The 25,095-nt window shown below is 38.2% G+C and overlaps 2 long non-coding RNA genes across 3 annotated transcripts in view, besides 1 other annotated feature; both read left to right on the top strand.

Moving 5' to 3' along the window:
* Window positions 1-25,095, top strand: part of LOC151760 (putative uncharacterized protein) — a 183,623-nt gene that overhangs the window by 1,357 nt on the left and 157,171 nt on the right. For both annotated transcript variants that reach the window (XR_007096272.1, XR_007096273.1), the window contains exon 2: window positions 939-1,146. This is a non-coding gene — a long non-coding RNA (putative uncharacterized protein LOC151760). The remainder of the gene's footprint in view (window positions 1-938; window positions 1,147-25,095) is intronic.
* NECTIN3-AS1 (NECTIN3 antisense RNA 1) lies at window positions 451-25,095 on the top strand. The gene is made up of 4 exons (NR_045114.1): window positions 451-620; window positions 939-1,146; window positions 17,751-17,906; window positions 24,501-25,095. It is a non-coding gene; the product is annotated as an NECTIN3 antisense RNA 1 (long non-coding RNA).
* Window positions 23,886-25,085: an enhancer, noted in NCBI's record as "MED14-independent group 3 enhancer chr3:110764172-110765371 (GRCh37/hg19 assembly coordinates)". NCBI's record gives its function as "activates an origin of replication core promoter dependent on BRD2, BRD4, P300/CBP and CDK7 cofactors, and independent of MED14, by STARR-seq in HCT116 cells {active_cell/tissue: HCT116}" and the evidence as "EXISTENCE:reporter gene assay evidence [ECO:0000049][PMID:35650434]".

The raw sequence follows: 25,095 nt of genomic DNA, 5'->3' as shown, positions 1-25,095 counted from the left end.
GCCAAGACCACGCTGTCCTCGGCTTTCAGTCAATAGGGTCTTCCCACCTTCCGCCCGCTGGATTACAAGGCTTTACTAACCTCCAAGGCTACAAGCCATTCTACACCCTGCCCACCTCTTTTTTCTTTCTTAACTTCTGCCTCCCTTCCAGTCTCCCAGCGCTCGGTCTAGTGCCTTTTTCCCTCCAGCCCTTTCCTCTTCCCTCCCTCCCTGTGCCTGTCTGCCTCTGTCGTCCCCTGTAAGCTTGTCTCCTGCAGCCAAGGCTTTCTATCACCTATTCTCAAGATGCACTTATGAATAAACCTTGTCCTGCATCGCTCCGGGAGATCCCCTGATGATGATCATAATTGACAAAATGTAGCTATTGTGACATTCCTCAGCTGTGCTGACACCACCGTTTCCCTTGAGAAAATTTCTTTTTCTATATTCGCATTCCCTAAACCTAATTTCACTGCTAAATTTAGACAGCTCACTGCGCAGCCACTAGCTAATTATCTGTTTAGATAGCACTTTAACACGTTGTTGAGACTCAGTTAAATGTTAAACAACCAAAATTTTAATATCACTAGCCAATTTCATTCTTCCAGGTTTTCCCTGATGGCTCCACATCTCCAAGAAAAGTAATTTAGCCAACATTTCAAAAAATACCAAAGGCTTAACTTGGGTAGGGGCCATCGGGCAATTGCTACAGAGACCATAAGGAATTAGCAGGTTAAGTTCGTCTCAAAAAGATGACATGGAGCTTTAACAAATATATTTCCTCCATACTTACAGAAATTGAATAGTGGTCTGCTATGATATTCTCTGACCTAAAGTGAAGAGAGAGCATGGAAGAGCATTATTTATAGATGTTATATAAGCATTAAAAGAGCACCATGCTGGTGTTTTATGTGCATATATGTATTATATTCTAATAATAATAATTTGTGTTTATACAGCATCTTCAACTAAAGATGTCAAAGCACAAGCTCACTTCCCACGGAAGGTAGCAATTACTATTATCTACTTGACAGCTACAAGAACCTAGGCACAGAGGTTAAGTGCTCTGCAAATACTACCAGCCAGTGGTGGTTTTCCTGCCAGAACCAAGTTCTTGCCTTCCAGTGGACACCATTGATCTCTCAAGATGATTCTTTAAGTTAAAAAGTAAGATAACTCAAATTTCTACTTTCTATAATAAAAGTGCCCAATCTTAAATTACATTCTCCTCAGATGAGTGAATTTTAGACATACTCACCCCAAGCTTTCCTGTTGGAAATTTTTACTGGCCACAGAAAAAGATTTTACATTACATATACAACTCATGTTTTTCAAGGGCAGAAATACTATTAATTTTTTTAAAACCTTTAGCATGAGAGTATTAGTGCGTTCTATGCCATTTTTAGTCTTCTAACTTTATACATAAGTTCACATTTATTGTTTGAATAACAAACTGTTTAAGGAATACTTAATTATAGCTAACTTATTAATATTTCTGACACCATTGAATAACAAAGTATACATGCATTTTTTCAGAAAAAAATTATCTGAACAGAAAGCAATGTAATCCTAATGCCAACAATAGTTTCATTGTTTTGGGTTAAGAGTACTGATGGTGTCCATCCTACTTTCGGCTCAAAGATTGTTTGCCAATTATCAAGGTTCATTAACTCTTAACTAAAAAACAAAGGTTGACATCTTAACAAAGAAGTAATTATGTACAGTGCTGGGCATTTTACATTTACTCAAATAATCCAAGTGAAAAGTTTGAGACTATTATTAGAATTTCATAGCTGACTCTGAAACAAAGGAGGTATTTTACAGGAGAGGTAAGACATTATATACTTCAGCTAATTCTTCTTAACATCAGCAAATTCTATAACCTGCTGTGTGAGGACGCATAGCTTTTCCTTTAGTAAAAGAGATGAATGATATTTTGTAGAATATTTGAACTTTGTACTATATTTGATAATAAGCTTATGTTATCCAGTTAGGATCACAGTTTTTGTAAAGAGAATTATGCAAATAATAAAAAACAAACTGCAAAATCGCAGAAAAGTCCATCCACTTGCAAAACGTTCACCAACCTTACTCTTATTAAATGCAAGTCTTTCTTACTGAACAGATCTTCCCTGTATGCTCATATGACTTTCTCCCTCCTATTTCCTTTGAATCTTTGATAAAATTTAACTTTATCATTGAGGCTCTCCAGGACCACATCATATGAAAGAGCTTCCCCCACCCTAATCCCTATGCCCTTAACTTGCTTTATTTTCTCCATTGCCCTTACCATCTGACATGTCTCTAATTTACTGTCTGTTCCCTTTCACTAGAATGAACAGTCCACAAGGGCAAGCAAGTATCTATATTTTCACTGTTAAAACTCAAGTAGGCCAGGCACAGTGCCTCCTGCCTGAAATCCCACCACTTTGGGAGGCCAAGGCTGGCAGATTGCTTGGGTCCAGGAGTTCAAGACGAGCCTGGCAACATGGCTGTGTTAGTCTGTTCTCATGCTGCTAATAACGACATACTTGAGATTGTGTAATTTATAAAGGAAAGAGGTTTAATTGACTCACAGTTCCACATGGCTTGGGAGGCCTTAATCATGGAAGAAGGCAAGGAGGAGCAAAGTGGTGGCAGGCAAGAGAACATGTCCAGGAAAACTCCCCTTTATAAAACCATCAGATCTCATGAGACTTATTCACTATCAGGAGAACAGCACAGGAAAGACCTGCCCCCATGATTCGATCACCTTCCACTAGGTCCCTTCCACAACACGTGGGAATTGTGGGAGCTACAATTAAAGATGAGATTTGGGTGGGTACACAGCCAAACCATATCAATAGCAAAACCTCCTTTCTCCTATAAATACAAAAAAAAAAAAATTAGCCGGGTGTAGTGATGTGCTCTTGTAGTCCCAGCTACTTTGAAGGCTGAGGTACGAGAATCAGCTGAGCCCAGGAGGTCGAGGCTGCAGTGAGCCAAGATTGCATCCCTGTACTCTAGCCTAGGCAGCTGGAGAAAGACCCTGTCCCCCAAAAAAAACCAAAACCAGAACAAAACAAAACAAAAACCCCAAGTACCTAGAATAATGTCTGCCATATAGATTCCAAACTGGATGATTAAATGATTATTATGACATAGCATACTCAAGTGCATGTCTCATTCAGTAGAGGTTTATACTTCTTTAAGGTCTTGAACAATAGGATTGATCATGTATAGTTTTTTTAAGCTGGAAGGTGGTTACTCTGACCATTGCTTAACACTCTTGATATAATTGTTATTAGTGCTGTTTATTAAACTATTATCTCTCCACTCTGTATTCATAGTTCTGCCCTGGTTTTGTAAGGCTGGTGCTAGGACTCTGCAAACTGTGTATCTCCTTTACCGACTGGCTTCCTGACGGGTTCTATCAATAGAGGTCACTGGAGGAAATGTGGACCCCTGGAGTAAGAGAAAAGGGACTTGTTCCTTTCCATTTGCTTCTTGCTATCAGCATCACCTCAGTGGTAATAACCTGTCATCCTGTCTTTAGCAGCTGATTCCAGCCTCCCACTTCTTTTACACTCTAAGTCCCAGAGTCCTCATGACTCCTCAAAAGTACCAGCACCAACTAGGCTGTTTCTACTTCTCAGAGGTCCAAGCCCCAGCTAAGGAGGATGGCTCCTCTAAACTTCTGAGTTCTAATAACACAAACCTTCCCCTTTGTCCTTCTAGTTCTAAGGGTAGTAACAGCTTCCCACAGCTTATATCTCTAGGTCACCACAGTGCTTCCCTTTTTGATCTAGAGAACCATCCCCCCATCCCTGTGTAACATTTTCATAATATTCCCTTGGTTACATAGTATAGTTTCTGTATTCCTGATTGGACCTCAACTTATTTTTCAGTGACTATTTCCCAAAATCTTCTCTTGTAACAGTTACTTTTTTCTAAGATGAGCTTCTTAAAATCACAGAGCCAACATAACTCCATCAATTAATGTAAATAAAAACAAGGCAAATGAACAAAATTTATTCTTTCATTGGCAGTAATCCAGGTTAGCAGAGATGGGTTGGAAATAAGTAAATTTGGAGGTAATTATGTTGTCATTTCAGCAATATATACATATGCTATGTATTTTTGTTGTTGCTCCTCATCCAGGTCATGGTAAAACAAACATAAATTTCTCATTTTTAGATGGTTTAGGTGATTTTTTTATGAACTTAGCACTTGAGAATTATGAAATTAAAAACGAAAGGAATATACAATTTGATAGAAAAAAGAAGACCTTGTGTTTGATAGGTCACTAGGGTGACTATAGTTTACTATAATCTATTAGGTATTTCAAAATAGCTAGAAGAGAATAATTCAACTGTTTCTAGCAGAAAGAAAAAACAAATATTTAAAGTGATGGATATCCCAATTATACTGATTTTATCTTTACAAATTACATGAATGTGTTGTCACATGTACCCCCCCAAAATATGTACATCTATTATGTATCAGTACAAACAGATGAAATTTTAAAAATTATTTGAGAAAAGATTATTTGGACTTTTAAACTTACAATGAAAACAAACTTACGTTTTACATAACTATCTAAAGGTTAACTCTATTCATAGTATACAACTCCTGTAGAGGTGCTGGTGTTCCAAAAAATATAGTTCGAGAAACTGATATGCAGGCAGAAAGAAGAGCTATACTATATCATTATGGTAGGTAGGTTAAATAATAGGGTAGGTAGCTTTAATAAAGATGATTAAACTACTATATACTGGAGTCTGTGTTAGGTACTGGACATAGAAAACCCCAAGTCCTGACTCCAAATAGTAATAACAATATTCTTGCAAACATTGGAGGGATGTACAGTATGTGAGAGAGCAGAGGAGGACTCTCAGGTCTGCCTAAAAGAGACTGGGAATCCTTCACAGCACAGATAATATTTGAACAGTCTTAAAGAATGACTAGAAATTTTACATATGGATGGAGGAAAAGCAGCAGAGGGAATAGGAGAATGATAGATGGAAAGTTACAGAGGCATGACCAAGTACGATGTGTTCTGTAACCCACAAGCATGCCTGTGCTGCTAGAGAGTACCACACAAAGGGGAATTGGGAGATAAGGTAAAAATGAAGTTAGATGGGTAGGTAGGGATTGCTTGTACCTTGTAAGGGGCTTTGGATTTTTATCTGGTCGATCATAAGGACAAATGAATTTTGAGTAGGGGAATGACAAGATTAGATTTGCTGGAAAAGTCAGAGAAAAATGTGAAGACGGATATATTGTCGGGGGATTTGGGAGAATTATAAGTACGAGTTTAGTAAAAAAAAACTTGTTGTAAGGAGCAGAGTGAATGAAGGTCGGAACTTTCATTCATGGATGAAATAAAGTGGTAAAGCAGATGGAAAGGAGAAAATGAATTCAGGGGAATTTTAGTATTTTAAAATAAAATAGTTTATTTCCAGAGTGGGTTGAATATATGGTGTGGCTAGCTAGGAGGTAATAATCTAGACAACTGAGAGAAACAAAAAACAAAAGGCATGAGAGCAAAGTGATGAAAAAAAAGCACTCAAAGAAGGTAATGAAAATATGGGTAGAGGCAGAGAGATACTAGAAGACAGAACATAGAGAAGAAAATAGGGGTGGAAAAACCAAATGACAAAGGTTTACAATAATGCAATTGATGATTTTACAAATTATTGAGCAAAATTTTAGGGCAGATTTTATCATTTACTTCCGCTAAATATTGTTCCTTGGAGTCTCATGTCTGAGTTAACCAGCTTTATGTAATGTCCAGTGCAGTTTATTTTAACATTGTCAATAACCAAAAAATATTTGTTGAAGAGAGGAAGAGAGGGAAAAGAAAAGAGTAGATGGTTTTGCTGTTGTATTTAGATTGAACTGAACTAAAGAAGTCTGGTGTCTGTGTAGGTTCAGTACAGTAAAAAGCCACTTCTTCCCCCATGGGTATTTCAAAAGATCCTGCCCTAATTAATCACCTAAAGCATTGTTTCTAACTTGTACCCTTTCATATCTAACCCAAAGCGGATATTCATCAGACGCGCCATGCCCCCCAACCCAGAGAGACACACAGAAGGAGTATAATGTAATGGTAAAACCCCTGGATCCGCATTGCCTGGGTTTCAGTTCAAATCCTCATCTTGTAACCCTGGGCAAGTTACTATCTTACTTTCCTCATGTGAAAATAGGGAAAATGGTTATTTCTTCCTCACCATATTTCAGGAGAAAGTTAGTTCATATAATTAGTTTAAAAGGGGCCTAATATATAAAGCCCAAGAAATGTTAGGTGTGGTAGTAGTTTTATTATCAGTAATATTAATATTAGTATTTTATTATACTTCTGAAACAGGGTCTTGCTCTGTCACCCAGGCTGGAGTGCAGTGACACCATCATAGCTCACTGCAGCCTCGACTTCCCCAACTCAAATGATCCTCCCACTTCAGCTTCCCAAGTAGCTGGGACTAGCAGCATGTACCACCATACCTGCTGATTTTTAATTTTTGTAGAGATGGGGGGGGGGTCTCACTATGTTACCCAAGCTGTATTAGTATTTTAAACATACGTTTAGAAATTGCATATCAATCATAGCAGCCCGGGAGTGGAATTTTGATTAGGCTCATGTTGCCAACAATCCAATTGAAATCTCAAAACCAATTCTGATAAACTCTGACTTACATTAACCAGATTGTGTTAATTCAGCATCATTCTTTTTTGTTTACAAACCTCTGCAGTTTACCTCCTGAATAACACTCCCCAAGAGGTCTACATTTTAATCCCCCAAACCTGTGAACAATATATGGCAAAAGGGGATTAAGTTTGCAGATAGAATTAAGATTACCAATCAGCTGACCTTAAAAATAGGGAGATTATCCTGGATTATCCAGTTGGGCACAATGTAATCACAAGGGTCCTTAAAAGTCAGAGGAAGGTAGAAGACAAGAGTAAAAGAGATGTGACCACAGAAGAATGGTCAGTAAGACACAGGTTACTGGCTTTGAAGATAGAGGAAGGGAACAGTGAAGCAAGTAATATGGCAATATCTAGAAGATTGAAAAGGCAGGCTGGGCGCAGTGCCTCCTATCTGTAATCTTAGCATGTCGGAAGGTCAGAGTGGGAGTCCAGGAGTTTGAGACCAGCCTGGGCAACATAACAAGACCCCGTCTCTACAAAAAATTTTAAAAAGTAGGTGAACATGGTGGTGCACACCTGTGGTCCCAGCTACTCTGGAGGCTGAGGTAGAAAGATCACTTGAGCCTGGGAGTTTGAGGTTGCAGTGAGCTGAGATCTCGCCATTGCACCTCAGCCTGGACAACAGACGAAGACTCCATCTCAAAAAAAAAAAAAACTAGTAAAGACACATCTTCCCCTTAGAGCCTCCAGAAAGGAATACAACCCTGCCCATACCTTGATTTCGGCCAGTGATATCTGTGTTAGACTCCTAACCAACAGAACTATAAGATAATAAATTTGTGTTGTAAGCCATTGGATCTGTGGTAATGTTATAGCAGCAGTAGAAAACCAATCCATCCCCCAATCCCCTTACCTTAACTTCTTTGACCAACACTCAAGAACCTTAACATAAAACTCAGTTTATTTATTTTTATTATTACACTTTAAGTTTAATACACGTACAGAACGTGCACGTTGGTTACATAGGTTACATAGGTAACATGGTTACACGTGCCATGGTGGTTTGCTGCACCCATCAACCTGTCATCTACATTAGGTATTTCTCCTAATGCTATCCTTCCCCTGGCCCCCCATAACATGTCAGGCCCCAGTGTTTGATGTTCCCCTGCCTGTGCCCATATGTTCTCATTGTTCAGCTCCCACTTATGAGTGAGAACATGCAGTGTTCGGTTTTCTGTTCCTATGTTAGTTTGCTGAGAATGATGGTTTCCAGCTTCATCCATGTCCCTGCAGAGGACATGAACTCATTCTTTTTTATGGCTGCATAGTATTTTATGGTGTGTATGTGCTACAGTTTGTTTATCCAGTCTATCATTGATGGGCATTTGGCTTGGTTCCAAGTCTTTGCTATTGTGAATAGTGCTGCAATAAACATACATGTGCATGTGTCTTTGTAGTAGAATGATTTATAATTTTTGGGGCGTATACCCAGTAATGGGATTGCTGGGTCAAATGGTATTTCTAGTTCTAGATCCTTGAGGAATCACCACACTGTTTTCCACAACAGTTAAACAAATTTACACTCCCACCAAGAGTGTAAAAGTGGTCCTAGTTCTCCACATCCTCTCCAGCATCTGTTGTTTCCTGACATTTTAATGATCGCTATTCTAACAGGCATGAGATGGTATCTCATTGTGGTTTTGATGTTCATTTCTCTAATGACCAGTGATGATGAGCTTGTTTTCACATGTTTATTGGCTGCATAAATGTCTTCTTTTGAAAAGTGTCTGCTCATATCCTTCACCCACTTTTTGATGGGCTTCTTTGTTTTTCTTTTCAATTTGTTTACGTTCCTAGTAGATTCATGATATTAGCCCTTTGTCAGATGAATATATTGCAAAATTTTTCTCCCATTCTGTAGGTTGCCTGTTCAATCTGATGATGGTTTCTATTACTGTGCAGAAGCTGTTTAGTTTAATTAGATCCCATTTGTCAATTTTGGCTTTTGTTGCAATTGCTTTTGGTGTTTTATTCATGAAGTCTTTGCCCATGCCTGTGTCCTGAATGGTATTGCCTAAGTTTTCTTCGAGGATTTTTATGGTTTTAGGTCTTACATTTAAATCTTTAACCCATCGTGAGTTAATTTTTGTGTATGGTGTAAGGAAGGAGTCCAGTTTCAGTTTTCTGCATACGGCTAGCCAGTTTTCCCAACACCATTTATTAAATAGGGAATCCTTTCCCCATTGCTTGTTTTTGTCACGTTTGTCAAAGATCAGATGGTTGTAGATGTGTGGTGTTATTTCTGAGGCCTCTATTCTGTTCCATTGGCCTGTATATCTGTTTTGGTACCAGTACCATGCTCTTTTGGTTACTGTAGCCTTGTAGTGTAGTTTGAAGCCAGGTAGCATGATGACTCCAGCTTTGTTCTTTTTGCTTAAGATTGTCTTGGGTATATGGGCTCTTTTTGGATTTCGTATGAAATTTAAAGTAGTTTTTTCTAATTCTGTGAAGAAAGTCAATGGTAGCTTGATGGGAATAGCATTGAATGTATAAATTACTTTGGGCAGTATGGCCATTTTCATTATATTGATTCTTCCTACCCATGAGCATGGAATGTTTTCCCATTTGTTTGTGTCCTCTCTTACTTCCTTGAGCAGTGGTTTGTAGTTCTCCTAGAAGAGGTCCCTCATATCCCTTGTAAGTTGTATTCCTAGGTATTTTATTCTCTTTGTAGCAGTTGTTAATGGGAGTTCACTCATGATTTGGCTCTCTGTCTATTATTGCTGTATATGAATGCTTGTGATTTTTGCACGTTGATTTTGTATCCTGAGATTTTGCTGAAGTTGCTTATTAGCTTAAGGAGTTTTTGGGCTGAGATGATGAGGTTTTCTAAATATACAATCATGTCATCTGCAAACAGAGACAAATTGACTTCCTCTCTTCCTGTTTGAATACTCTTGATTTCTTTCTCTTGCCTGATTATCCTGGCCAGATCTTTCAATCTTTGTTGAATACAAGTGGTGAGAGAGGGCATCCTTGTCTTCTGCCGGTTTTCAAAGGGAATGCTTCCAGCTTTTGCCTATTCGGTATGATATTGGCTGTGAGTTTGTCATAAATAGTTCTTATTATTTTGAGGTACAGTCCATCATTACCTAGTTTATTGAGTGTTTTTAGCATGAAGAGTGTTGAATTTTATCCAAGGCCTTTTCTGCATCTATTGAGATAATCATGTGGTTTTTGTCATTGGTTCTATTTATGATGGATTCTGTATATTGATTTGCCTATGTTGAACCAGCCTTGCATCCCAGGGATGAAGCCAACTTGATTGTGGTGGATAAGCTTTATAATGTGCTGCTGGTTTCGGTTTGCCAGAATTTTATTGAGTATTATCACATAGATGTTCATCAGGGATAGTGGCCTGAAATTTTCTTTTTTGGTTGTGTCTCTGCCAGGTTTTGGTATCAGGATGATGCTGGCCTCATAAAATGAGTCAGGGAGGAGTCCCTCTTTTTCTTTTGTCTGGAATAGTTTCAGAAGGAAGTGTATCAGCTCTTCTTTGTACCTCTGGTATAATTCGGCTATGAATCCTTCTGGTCCTGGGCTTTTTTAGGTTGGGAGGCTATTAAGTACTGCCTCAATTTCAGAACTTGTTACTGGTCTATTCATGGATTTGACTTCTTCCTGATTTAGTCTTGGGAGGGTGTGTTTGTCCACACATTTATCAATTTCTTCTAGATTTTCTAGTTTATTAGCATAGAGGTGCTTATTAGTATTCTCTGATGGTAGTTTCTATTTCTGTGGGATCCACAGTGATATCCCCTTGATCATTTTTTATTGTGTCTATTTGATTCTTCTCTCTTTCCTTCTTTATTCTTTTGGCTAGTGTTCTATCTATTTTGTTAATCTTTTCGAAAAACCAACTTCTAGATTCATTGATTTTTTTTTTGAAGAGTTTTTGTGTCTCTATCTCCTTCAGTTTGGCTCTAATCTTAGTTATTTCTTGTCTTCTGCTAGCTTTTGAATTTGTTGGCTCTTGCTTCTCTAGTTCTTATAATTGTGATGTTAGGGTGTCAGTTTTAGATCTTTCCTGCTTTGTGATGTGGGCATTTAGTGCTATAAATTTCCCTCTAAACACTGCTTTAGCTGTGTCCCAGAGATTCTGGCACATTGTGTCGTTGTTCTCGTTGGTTTCAAAGAGCTTATTTATTTCTGCCTTCATTTGCTTATTTACCCAGTAGTCATTCAGGAGCAGGTTGTTAAGTTTCCATGTAGTTGTGTGGTTTTGAGTGGGTTTCTTAATCCTGAGTTATAATTTGATTGCACTGTGGTCTGAGAGACTGTTATGGTTTTCATTATTTTGCATTTGCTAAGGAGTGTTTTACTTCCAATTATGTGGTCGATTTTAGAACAATTGCTGTGTGGTGCTGAGAAGAATTCATATTCTGTTGATTTGGGGTGGAGAGTTCTGTAGATGTCTATTAGGTCTGCTTGGTCCAGAGCTAAGTTCAAGTCCTGAAAATCCTGGTTAATTTTCTGTCTCGTTAATCTGTCTAATATTGACAGTGGGGTGTTAAATTTCCCACTATTATTGTATGTGAGTCTAAGTCTCTTTGTAGGTCTCTAAGAACTTGCTTTATGAATCTGGGTTCTCCTGTATTGTGTGCATATATATTTAGGATAGTTAGCTCTTTTTGTTGCTTTGATCCCTTTACCATTATGTAATGCCTTTCTTTGTCTTTTTTGATCTTTGTTGGTTTAAAGTCTGTTTTATCAGAGACTAGGATTGCAACCCCTGCTTTTTTTTCTTCTTTCCATTTTCTTGGTAAATATTCTTTCATCCCTTTATTTTAACCCTATATGTGTCTCCGCATGTGAGATGAGTCTCCTGAATACAGCACACCAATGGGTCTTGACTCTTTATCCAATTTGCTAGTCTGTGCCTTTTAATTGGGGCATTTATCCCATCTACATTTAAGGTTAATATTGTTATGTGTGAATTCGATCCTGTCATTATGATGCTAGCTGGTTATTTTACTCATTAGTTGATGCAGTTTCCTCATAGTGTCAATGGTCTTTACATTTTGGTTTGTTTTTGCATTGGCTGATACCGGTTTTTCCTTTCCATATTTAGTGCTTCCTTTAGGAGCTCTTGTAAGGCAGGCCTGGTGATGACAAAATCCCTTAGCATTTGCTTGTCTGTAAAGGATTTTATTTCTTCTTCACTTGTGAAGCTTAGTTTGGCTGGATATGAAATTCTGGGTTGAAAATTCTTTTCTTTAAGAATGTTGAATATCGGCCCTCACTCTCTTCTGGCTTGTAGTGTTTCTGCAGAGAGATCTGCTGTTAGTCTGATAGGCTTCCCTTTGTGGGTAACCCGACCTTTCTCTCTGGCTGCCCTTAACATTTTTTTCCTTCATTTCAACCTTGGTGAATGTGATGATTACGTGTCTTGGGGTTGCTCTTCTTGAGGAGTATCTTTGTGGTATTCTCTTTATTTCCTGAATTTGAATGTTGGCCTGTCTTGCTAGGTTGGGGAAGTTGTCCTGGATATTATCCTGAAGTATGTTTTCCAACTTGGTTCCATCCTCCCCATCACTTTCAGGTACACCAATCAAACGTACGTTTGGTCTTTTTCACATAATCACATATTTCTTGGAGGCTTTATTCATTCCTTTTCATTCTTTTTTCTTTAATCTTGTATTCATGCTTTATTTCATTAAATTGATCAACAGTCTCTGATAGCCTTTCTTCCATTTGGTCGATTCAGCTATTGATACTTGTTTATGCTTCATGAAGTTCTCATGCTGTGTTTTTCAGCTCTGTCAGGTCATTTATGTTCTTCTGTAAACTGGTTATTCTAATTATCAATTTCTCTAACCTTTTATCCAGGTTATTAGCTTCCTTGCATTGGGTTAGAACATGCTCCTTTAGCTCAGGAGAGTTTGGTATTACCCACCTTCTGAAGCCTACTTCTGTCAGTTCATCAAACTCATTCTCCATCAAGATTTGTTCCCTTGCTGGTGATGATTTGTGATCCTTTAGAAGAGAAGAAGCATTCTGGTTTTTGGAATTTCCAGCCTTTTTGCGCTGGTTTTTCCTCATCTTTGTGGATTTATTTACCTTTGACCTTTGCTGTTGGTGATCTTCGGATGGAGTTTTTGTGTGGTTGTCCTTTTTGTTGATGCTGATGCTGTTGCTTTCTGTTTGTTAGTTTTCCTTCTAACAGTCAGGCCCCTCTGCTGCAGTTCTGCTGGAGTTTGCTGGGGGTTCACTCCAGACTCTGTTTGCCTGGGTATCACCAGCGGAGGCTGCAGAACAGCAAAGATTGATGCCTGTTGCTTCCTCTGGAATCTTCATCTCAGACAGGTACCCACCGGATGCCAGCCAGAGCTCTCCTGTATGAGGTAACTGTTGGCCTCTGTTGGGAGGTGTCCCCCCCGTCAGGAGGCACAGGTGTCAAGGACCCACTTAAGGCGGCAGACTGTCCCTTAGCAGAGCTCGAGCACTGTGCTGGGAGATCCACTGCTTTCTTCCATGTCGGCAGGCAGGGACGTTTAAGTCTACTGAAACTGCACCCACAGCCATCCCTTCCCCCAGGTGCTCTTTCCCAGGGAGATGGGAGTTTTATCTATAAGTCCCTGACTGGGGCTGCTGCCTTTTTTTCAGAGCTGCCCTGCCCAGAGAGGAGGAATCTAGACAGGCAGTCTGGGCACCTTGGCTTTGCGGCACGGTGGTGAGCCCTGCCCAGTCTCAACTTCCTGGGGGCTTTGTTTACACTGTAAGGGGAAAACTGCCTACTCAAGCCTCAGTAATGGCAGATGCTGCTCCCCCCACCAAACCTGAGCATCCCAGGTCAACTTCAGACTGCTGTGCTCACAGCAAGAATTTCAAGCCAGTGGATCTTAGCTTGCTGGGCTCCGTGGGAATGGGAGCTGCTGAGCTAGACCACTTGGCTCCCTGACTTCAGCCCCTTTTTTAGGGGAGTGAACGGTTCTGTCTCACAGGCATTCCAGGCACCACTAGGGTACAAAAAAACAACTACTGCAGCTAACTTGATGACTGCCCAAACAGCCGCCCAGTTTTGGGCTTGAAACCCAGGGCCATGTGCTGTAGGCACCTGAGGGAATCTCCTGGCCTATGGGTTGTGAAGACCATGGGAAAAACATAGTTATCTGGGCTGGATAGCACCCTCCCTCTTGGCACGGTCTCTCATGGCTACCCTTGTCTAGGGAAGGGAGTTCCCCAACCCTTGCACTTCCCGGGTGAGCCAACACCCCACCCTGCTTCAGCTTGCCCTCCGTGGGCTGCACCCACTGTCTAACCTGTCCCAGTGACATGAACCAGATACCTCAGTTGGATATGCAGAAATCATCTGCCTTCTGTGTTGATCTCACTGGGAGCTGCCGACCGGAGCTGGTCCTATTCGGCCATCATGCCTGGGAAATCAAAACTCAGTTTATTTCTAACTACCTTATCTAGCTTGCCTCCCTAGGCCCTAGGCCCACTCCATTCCTGAGTAGTCTCTTTCTTTTCCTCATAAGGCCCTTAAGGACCCTGTTCTACCATAAACAAACATCTCACTCTACCTTCTCAAACTAAATGAAACATGAATTTTTATCTTAAAATTTAAGATCTTCAGCAGCCTTTTCTAAAAGAAAGCTTCTATTTATTCCACTTTCTTCAACCCATGTTGCTTGAAATAGGGCTGGGTAATCTACTTCTAGACCATTGTTTGTAGCCCTTCTTCAACAACCCCCCTCCCCTGCTTTGGACTTCTTTGTCTATTTTTTTAATTTTGCTTCTACTTGAAGTCCTTGAAAAAATCAGTTGTTTTCAATCTCCTGAGAACCTCTGGTCTCAGTAGGAATTTCTCATTTAAGAGTTTTTTCTATCCTAGCCTCCTATTTTCCTACCAATTTATCATCACTGTTAAATTTATTCTTTGTCTTCCAATTTTGTCTTTGTCTTCCAATACTTATCTCCAAATCCATTACTCCCATTTAGCTTTTCTGCCTTTATATTCAGACTGGACTTCATGTTAAACTTTTCAATAATGTGCTCATGAGCCCTTGTGTGCTTTGCTAACCCCCACTAATGGCATTCAGCACTCCTGCCATACCTATCAGGAGTAGCTTCATAAAATCTCAACAAGGTGCCAATTGTAATTCCTGATATTTCATGGTATCAAACTTCTCTTCAGGTTCTCAAAGCTATACAAGAATCTATAGTCATCTTTTTGAAGCCTTTACAGTGACTGCTTCAAATTTTTCCCTTTCTCCTCAAGCCTCCATCCATTTCCTTAGCGCATACAGTCTCATTGGATAACACTGCTTATTTCTCTGAGAAAAAAGCATTCCTAGATGAACTACATCAATTACCTTCTAATGTGTTGGGGTGATCAGACCCAACACCAGGCCGTGGGGGCTACAAAGTCTGGTGGAGTCAAAGGAATGAGAAAAGACAAGTTAAGAGTGCATAAGATGGATCCAGGGGCCAATGCTGGTATAGAGGCTGTGAAGGTCCTGAGCTCTGGGAGCCCACACTATTTATTGGTGATCAAAGAAGCAGGTGGTGAGGATGTGTGGATGTGGGGATAAACAGCTGAGGACATGAGGACATGAGGACATGGTGGTAGAAAGGTAGCGGTGCATCAAGCATAGCTGTGACGGTTTAGCATTTTCTTTGACGCATATGTAATATGCTCTGCTACCTGAGATAATGGAAAACATGTTTATGAGCCTGGGAGAGCAACCAACAAGTCTGTGCACATTTCAGAGGCCACGAGGGGTTTTATGCCCTGAGCCCTGGATTCTTTCCAAGCCATGAGGGGTGCTATGACCTTGGCTTAGATTTGTGATGTGGCAGGACAGCCTTCCATCCTTTGGCACAGAGCTTGGTGTTTAAAAGGCCACGAGGGGTTTTAGACCCTGGACTCCAGACATCTTCCAAGATTCTTTTATATTATGGCAGACAAGCCAGTCCGGCCTCAGCTCTTCTACTAACACTAATGTAACTTCTCTTGTCACCCTTTCCTCTCTCTCAGCAATAATTTCAAAGTTTGTTGACTGTAACATTATCTCCACCCTCCCCAACAAATCAGAACCTATAAATGGCTATATTATAAGCAGCTGAAGATGGAAGAGCATAGATACAATTCACCTCTTAAAAATAGATCCAACACTGAATTTCAGAATCAGGAACCCAGCTTCAAAGATAACAGTCTGCTGATAGTTCAGCTGCCCTCTTGTACCCTAGAGTCTTTTTGTTATGGGAATAAAGAGCCAAAAGAGTTGACCTAGTAGATAGAATTAAATAGGAGCACTATCAGCCAGCTTGTCAAGGGAATCAGTTCCATTTGTTTCATAATCAAATACTTTAATGCTCAGCTGTTGCCATTCACTATTTGAAAATATCATTATGGCATAAAATGTATGTGAATATTTGGGTAAACAGATTTTGTTGATTTCATATTCCCAGTAGCTGGGACCAAGGTGTGCCCCACCATGTCCAACTAATTTTTAAAATTTTTTTGTAGAGACAGGGTCTTGCTATGTTGCCCAGGCTGGTCTCAAACTCCTGGACTTGCACCTTGACATCCCAATGTGCTAACATTACAGATTTCATTGTTTTTATATTTTGTTGTCTTCAAATCTGTGAAAATCTGTTTTCACAGATTTTGTTGTGTTTCTGTAACTAGATGTGCTAGAACCTCAAGATTAGAGGGAATCTTTGCTCTCTAATTATTCTCTTTTTTGGGACTCCTTTCCTATCTATCTATTTTCATAACTATCTTCATGGTTACTTAAATTAATGTGAAATATATTCGATTATTGAAAAATATCTAGGCATTCATGCTTCCAATACAATTATATTAGTCAGGGTTTTCCAGAGAGATAGAACCAGTAGGATACATACATATGTAAGTAGGTAGGTAAATAGATAGGTAGATATATGATTGATTTATAGATAGATAAATAGGTACATGATAGATAGATAGATAGATAGATAGATAGATAGAATTTATTAGAGGAATTGGCTCATGTGATTATGGAAGCTGAGAAGTCCCACCACAGGTTATCTGCAAGCTGAAGATTTTGGAATGCCAGCATCATGGCTTAGTATAAGTTTAAAAGCCTTGGAACCAGGGAAGTGGGTGGTGCAATTCTCAGTTTGAGATCAAAGGTCTGGGAATCCAAGGTGGGGTTGCCACTGGTGTAAGTCCTGGAGTCCTAAGGCTAGAGAGCCTGGAGTTCTGATGTCCAAGGACAGAGAGAGGAGAGCATCCAACCTCCAGGAGAGAGAGAGGGGAAATCTTTTTCTGTCCTTTTTTGTTCTGTTGGGCCTCCAGCCAATTGGATGGTGCCTGCCGACATGGAGGCAGATTTTCTCCACTCTGTCCACTGACTTACAGTCCAATCTCCTTTGGAAGCACCCTCACAGACGCACCTAAAAGTATTGCTTTACAAGTTCTGTGGGTATGCCTTAGTCCAGTCAAGTTGACACCTAAAATTAATCATCACAATGAATATGTCACTTTTTGGTAAATTTCTGTATAACATAAGAGAAATCCCTGAGAAAGGGACTCTTTGCCTATGGTAAAATAACCATTCTGAACAGTTTTTGTCCCTGAAGGGATTATTAACAATAAATGAAGGAACTGCGCTTTTGAATACTCTAATAGAAGATACACTGCATTTATTCAGCAAATATTTATTCCACATCTTCCATGCTCCATCCAGTGGAGTTGTAGCAATGAATAAGTCATATATGTCTTCCATTTCTATGACTTTTCAGTTTGGCATGAATGGTAGATATTAAATGAATATCATGCATTTAATTATTTAGTCTCAATTTTATGAATGTTCTGAGGAAAGGCACAGGGTGCCAGAAGATACACCTGAGGGAACAAAATTAATATTTTGTGGACAAAAATAGCTTTGTTGATGAACTGTTGTTTAGGCTAAGACCCAAAGGATAAATTAATATTAACCCTATGGAAAGTGCTTGTGTGTGTGTGTGTGTGTGTGTGTGTGTGTGTGTGTGTGTGTCTTGATAGAGGGGTTTAGAAGCCAAGTTTGGTTAATTTGAAAAATTAGAGCAGGAACATATGCCTTTTATTTGTGTTCCCCTCTCAATCACAGGAGCTGAAAGCCTGCAAACTACATTTTGTTAAGTCTTTGGTAAACACATTTCATATTAATTTCTGTTACAAGGCAGCAGAAATAGGCACAGTGCCTCCAACATATCAAAGGAAAGTAAAGGCTAGTGGAAGGGGATAACAGCTTCCTGACCTCCAGGTAATATTTCATTCATTGAAACGGTTCTTGGATTCTGTTTTTCCAGCTGTACACTGACTAATACAGGATAGAGTAATGGCATAAGAGCCTAATGATGTCAAAAGGGACCAGGTAAAGGATATTCTTATGGGTTGTATGAAGTATATTGGATTTCATTGTAACAGCAATGGGAACCCATTGAAGGATTCACAATAGAGAAGAGATATCAATTTTCCATTTTTAAATAGAGCAATTTGCCACGAAGAGAATGGATTTGGTGAAAATAAGAGTGAATTCAATAGTGGATATAAGAATTCAAATAAGAAATTATGGTAGTTAGATCCAAAGTGATAAAAGTGGAGAAGTTGTCAGAGCTGAAAAGAAATTGATAGGACTTGGGGCTTGGTTGGATTTAGGGGGTAAGATGGAAAAAGTAAAGGATGATTCTAAGATTTCTGACATGAGCACTGGGTAGATGATGATGTAATTCACTGAGATAAGACAATTTTAGGGACAAATATCATAACTTTGAGTTCAAATTGCATATGAGATATACAAGCAGATATGCTGAGTATAGTTATATATGTAGATGTAGAACTCAACATCAATCTATGCTGCGAAGTAAGTTTAGAAGTCATCAGCAAATTGATTATATTTGCAGCCATGTAAATATGTGAGATCTGTTAGGACATGAGCATATTGTGAGAAGAATAAGGTCTAATCCTAAGAAATGGGAATATTTAAATGACATGCTGAAGAAAAGGTAGTGCCAGAAAAAGAAAATGAGAAGTGGCCAGAAAGGAAAAAGGGAAATTAAAATGTGGCATCATAGAAACTGAAGGACAAGAATGTTTCTAGAAAGAGGAAGTAATTAATTATGTTGAATACTATGATTGAATGAATACATTGGTAATCTCAGCAAGAGCAAGTAACAGAAACCAAACAGTTGCTAATATAAACAGACACTGAATTTGTTTAAAGGGTGTTAGGTATTTTTTTAAATCTCTGAGAGGTGTGGTAAACCACATTAGAGTCCAGCAGCAGAAACAATGCCCAACCAAATGTTGCAGAAGTAATCAAGAGAAGATACTATTGATGCAGCCAATGGACACTAGCTGCCACATTTGGCAGCAGGGAGAAGACTTGAACTATGCATTAGACACCACTTTTTACACTGCTGCCATGATCACTTCTGAAACTCAGTTTCCCTGCAACTGTCACCACCACAAAAGACTTTCTTGAGGGCCACATTATTCACAGGTCAGTGCACCTGACCTACCTAGTAATGGAAACAGAAGCTAGGTTGAAACTAATGGTGGAATAAATGGAAGATGAGAATTTGAGAAGAATTAAAAAAAAAGAATACAGTTGACGTTTGAACGATGCAGGAGTTAGGGGTGCTGACTCCCTGCACAGTCAAAATTCCACGTGTAATTTTTGACTTCCTGAAACTTAACTACTAATAGCTTACTGTTGGCATTACTGATAACATAAACAATTGATTTACAGGTATTTTGTATGTTATATGTATGACATACTTTATTCTTACAAGAAAGTAAGCCAGATAAAAGGTTATTAAGAAAATCATAAGGAAGATAAAGTATACTTACTATTTATTAACTGGAAGTGGATCATCGTAAAGGTCTCCATCCTCATCATTTTCACATTAAGTAGGCTGAGGAGGAGGAAGAAGAGGAGGGGTTGGTCTTGCTGTCTCTAAGTTAGCAGAGGCAGAAAAGAATCCACGTGTAAGTGAACCCATGGAGTCCAAACCCATGTTGTTCAAGGGTCAACTGTAGATAACTTTTCCAAGACATTTAAAAGAAAGGTGAGAGAGCAGTGGCTGCAAGTCAGCATGACATCCACAGAGAGTTTTTCAAGATTAAAAAGATATAGCAAGTAGGGAGAAGCTAATAATATTAGGAAGTTAGAAGGTGTTTTAAGATATAAGATTACCTGAGTAACAAGACAAGAATGCTTACCATTACAATATTGTCTAACATTATTCTGAGGATACCAAACATAGAAAATGAAAAAAGAATTTTGAGGTTTAAATATGAGAAAGGAAGAGGTTAAATTATTACAATTTTCAAGTAATATATTTGTGAAAATCTTAAGACAATTTTTTTAAGATCAGAATTCAATAAGGTGACTGACTAAAAAATTTGTATACAGAAATTAGCAGCCCTCATATATTGAAACAACAGTGAGTTAGGAGATCTAATAAAAGACAAAATCCACTTACAATACCAATAAAAATGATAAAATACCTAGAAATGATCTTAACAAGAAATACGTAAAATTTATATGAAGAAAACTTCAAAATATAAATTACAAAAGTAATAGAAGAAACCATCAGGTTTTTTTGTAATCATGGATTAGAAAAGGATTTTCCAAGTATATAACAAAAGCCAGAAGTCATCAAAGTAAAACTTTAATAAATCTGATTATAAAAAATTTCCTGCATGGCAAAAAAAAAAAAAAATACAACACACATTACAAAAGCCATCTTTACATATAAATAATGTCTACAATTCAATTTTCTAAAAGTATAACATGAGAAAATAGGAAAGGGATATGAACAGAGAAAAGCAATCAGAAATGGATTTTAAATATTTGAAGAGGCTCAATTTGTAATAGGCAAAATATTAATTAAAATTATGAAATCAGCAAAACCCTTGTGATGGCCTTGTGTTAGGTGAGTTTTACTGCTTGTTGGGGCTTAGAAAACAATACCCCAAAATGAAGGCTTCAGGAGTAGCCTCAGAAGCAAAGGTGTTTCTTTGACCTTCTCCTCCCCTCCTGTCTCTGGCCTTTCATTCTTCCTTGAGGCTAGCCACAACTAGAATCCACTTTTCCCAAGGCAGATCACAGAAACCAGAGACCCTTTCCCCTAAAACCAGCCATAAAACTTAAAAATATTACTCCAGTTTGCCCCCATGCCCCCATTTTCTGTGTAAAAATTGGCCATAAAGAAATTATCTGACTTGTCTTGTTTGATTGTAGGGCATAAGACTTCCATTCCAGAGGGGGTCCTGCCCCATGTCCAGAAGGAAGAAATGCATGCTCGAGAGGTCAAGAATCTAGGCAGACAGGCCTTACTGGGTTTCCCCACTCAGTCTATTAGCATTAGATAATATCCTTTGTGTTCAGTCATATTTCTACATGGCTGTACATACTTCATTTAACCTGAGAATAAAAATAGACAGTTTTCCCTGTTTCTTTGGGTATTCATTCTGAAAGCTCCCATATGCATAAAAGTATAATCAAATAATTTTATATGCCTTTTCTCCTTTTAGCCTGCCTCTTAGTGATTTTCAGCAAACCTTCAGAGGGCAAAGGGGATGTTTTCACATGGCCCCTACACTCTCATACATTTTTGGTGGGACTGTCATTTGATTTGATCTCTACGGAGGATAATTTGGCAATATTTATCATAATTACAATGGCGTTTACCCTTTAGCCAAGTAATCCCATTAATAGGAATTTAACTCATAAACATATTTTCAGATATGTGAAATAATGTACACAAATATTCATTGCAATGTTGCTTATAATAGTAAAAGTTTGGAGACAATGTAAATGTCCATCAATAGGGTCAGGTTAAATAAATTATGCAACATCCCTAATTTATACTATGCAATTTAAAAAGAATGAATCAATACTTTGTGAATTAATATTGTGTCTAAGATGTATTTTAAGTGAAAAAAACGAGATATGCCACAGTGTATAAAGTGTGTTGCTTTTTTTTTAAGCTTGAGAAAATATTTGTATGGATTTACTTAGGTGTGCGTAGAATATCTCCGGCAGTATACCTGCCCCTAAGAGAAGATAGATGACTGGGGCTAGAAATAAAAAAGAAATTTTCTGTCATAATCCCTTTGTAATTTTTCAATTTTAGACATTTAAATATGTTGCTTACTGAAAACAGTTAAAACTTGAGCAAAAAGCATGAGATTCCTGGAAATATATAAAGGAATATATGCCAGAATAGTGGAGAGATCGGCCTTGCATGTAAGAGGAAACACTTCCTCCATTTTTACAGATCAGAAAGAATACAGGGGAGTTGTAGCATTGATTTGGTGCAGGAAGTTGAAGGGTTGAAGAAATTTTTTGAATGACGCTTTTTTTTTAAGGGAGGATGCAAAGTAATGAGAGTATAAGAGATGAGTAGAAGTTTGAAATAATTATTGTGAATATAGGAGAGTGAGTTGACTACAGGAGTGTAAAATTGCAAGGCAGTATTAAGGGCCAAGTAAAGGTTAGGCATTAGAGATCAAAACTGATTTCTATTTGCTCAGTTGTCTGATATTTCACCATCAACTCTTAGCTGGCTGGGGTGAGACAAAAAGGTTAATGAAAATGAGATGTTCACTTTTCTTGCTAAGAGGAAGACTGAAGGCAAAATGATCTCTATGAGTGGAAGAACACCCTAAAAATGGGTGATTAAGCTGCCAGGAAGTGCCACCCTGGTAGGGAAAAGTACCATTTGACTGTTTGCCATCATCTGTCACAAAGAGACATGAACAAATTTACAAAGATTTGCTTACACAGAAGCAACACAAATCCTGTTTGGTTTTCCTAAGTTCTCAGAAGTTTTGTAAGATCCTGACTAGTTTAAGCTCTATCTGTAAAATCTATAAACAAGTTGTCAGCTTGCAAACTCCTTTTAACTCATTTGTTACTCATGTTAAATTCAGTATAATAAGAATCTATTTTGAGATGTTTCTTAAAGGAACTTTAAAAAGAATAATATACTAAACTGGATTTAAAAAATATTCTACCATTTAAGCCAAACTTAGAAATAGAACTGTTATATCCTGAATCATGCTGATTTATAATTATTACAATGTTGAGTAGAAAGAATGTGTATATTTGCTGTTCTTGACATATTAACTGTTAAAAATTGAAGGACATAAAACAAATAATTACTATTTTTAAGCTTTTCACCTTGAATATAGCACTCTGTTTCTGTTCACTAGAAATGCCTTTTAAAATACTAATTTTTAAGGTTAAAAATAAATGTCATTTCTCAGTAATTTAATCTTCAGATGTATTAAGTCCCTTTTGTTATTTAAAACTCTTAAAATTATAATATATGTGAGAAGATCCAATAGCTTATTTTTATTATGATAACATGGCCTCCTATTGAAAATGAAGGTAATATTCATTCCCAGAAAGTCTGTTTTTGCAAATCCTCTTAGAAAGTGCTTTAAAAACCTCTTACTTTATTCATATGCTTATGGAGGTAGTTCCCAGTCAGTGCCCAAGCATTGCCTCCCACAGTTATATTGAAATAGCAACAATGAAAAGGCTGCTTCTTCAGAGTTCTCATTGAAAAAGAATTTTCTTTATGCTGGGTGCAGACTGAGGACTTGATTGATAGTCCTTTAGATATTCTTCAGTGATAGGCCAGTAGTTCTGTATGTATTACTATGGGAGTATAACTTGTACATTCTTACAATGCAAAAAATTATTTGGCTTTCCATGTAGGTCCAATGGAAAAGTCCCATTACGTTGACTAGGACCCACACTTGTGAAGAATTATGAAAACACAGAGCATTTTGCAACAAATTATGTAATCATGTAAATAGTAAACTAATAATAAACAGTAAACTGATAACAGCAAAATATATTTAAAATTTGTACTGTTACATATCTTCATTGGCACACAAAGATAATGCTATTTTAAAAAATAAAATCAGAAGCTTGAAATGTGTACAGTACTTCTTTTATTGCTTATGAATACGATTAGGCCAATGTACTTTTTGAATCAGATAATTTTTTGACCTAAATGGGTTTAATCCTCTTCTTTATACTTTATACATAAGGAAACAGGCTTGTAGAGAAGAAAAGATTTCTTTTCTCACCCATTGCTAGTTTTATGGCTGAGGCCTCTATTAAAAAAAAGAGGTTAACAAGAGAAAAATCACAAATATGTATTTACTATAAAGTTTATGTGATATGGGAGACTTCATAAAGAAATGAAGATCCAAAGAACAGGTAAACCTATGTGTATTGTATGCTAGGTTTAATGGAGAAGTGGATAGTCATGGAGAGGTATGATTAGACTAAGTGGGTTAGCAAGGCAGGTTTGTACAGATTCTTCTCTGTATCATTGGGTCTTCACAGACAAGGTTGTTTGTTATTTCCAGGAATGGGAATGGTACTTCTAAGATGTGGGTCTTATGACCTTGCTTCAGGGAAGGAGGGTGGGAGAAGGTCAGAGAGTAACTTTCCTGCTTCTGCTATTTTCTCAAATGCCAAGGTGACATATTTTGGGGTAATATGTCCCTGGGTCTTCACAGACAAGGATGTTTGTTATCTCCAGGAACAGGAATGGTACTTCTAAGATGTGGGTCTTTTGACCTTGCTTCAGGGAAGGAGGGTGGGAGAAGGTCAGAGAGTAACTTTCCTGCTTCTGCTATTTTTCTCAAATGCCAAGGTGACGTATTTTGGGGTAATATGTCCTGAACCCCATCACTTGCAAGGTTTTGCCTTATTCAGGGACTTCTGTCCTCTTTCTTTTGCATTCTTTTTTTTATGAAATATACTCATGGCAGAAATGCATCTGTGAAACTGTGGGTTTCACCTTAGTCAAGTTTGTCTCCACAGGCACGAATCACAAAGGGCCTCAAAACCACATTAAAATTTAAGATTGATCTGCTCTTCTGCTTCTGAATGTGAGAGCCTATACTGGATCTCTGAAGAAAATAAAGATGAGATGAGGTTCTGATCCCTTGGACTTCATGAAGTTACGTGACAGAAAGTATGATTGTCTAGCCGATACTTGACTGTGTGAAACCTTCATCTACTCCGGAATCCTGAGGCACAGACTCAGAGGCCCTCTGACTCACGATTAGGGTTGTCAGGGTGATGCAACAGCAAGACCATAGCCTTTGGTGTCGGAATACCAAGTTTTGAAGCTCAGTTTCCCCACTCACTAATTTTCAGTGAGCACATACATAATTTGAAATCTGAAAATGGACAATAATGCCTACCTACTTCAAAATTTGGTTTGAGAATCAAGTGAAATATTAATATATATGTAAGCATTTTATGAACAAGGAAGCAAGTTATAAATGCATTATCTTGTTAATTTAGTCATTTCACTAGGGGTGGGTCCAATGTGGGCCTCCTTTGAGGTAGACTGTATTTCATGAATTTATAATAAAATTCTAAAGTTTAACAAAGACAGTACCTGGAAAAA

The sequence above is a fragment of the Homo sapiens genome, chromosome 3 (assembly GCF_000001405.40).
Source record: "Homo sapiens chromosome 3, GRCh38.p14 Primary Assembly".
In the NCBI taxonomy this organism is placed as follows: domain Eukaryota; kingdom Metazoa; phylum Chordata; class Mammalia; order Primates; family Hominidae; genus Homo; species Homo sapiens.
The sequence above is the reverse complement of the archived record's forward strand: the minus strand, read 5'-3'. Positions and strand labels throughout refer to the sequence as shown.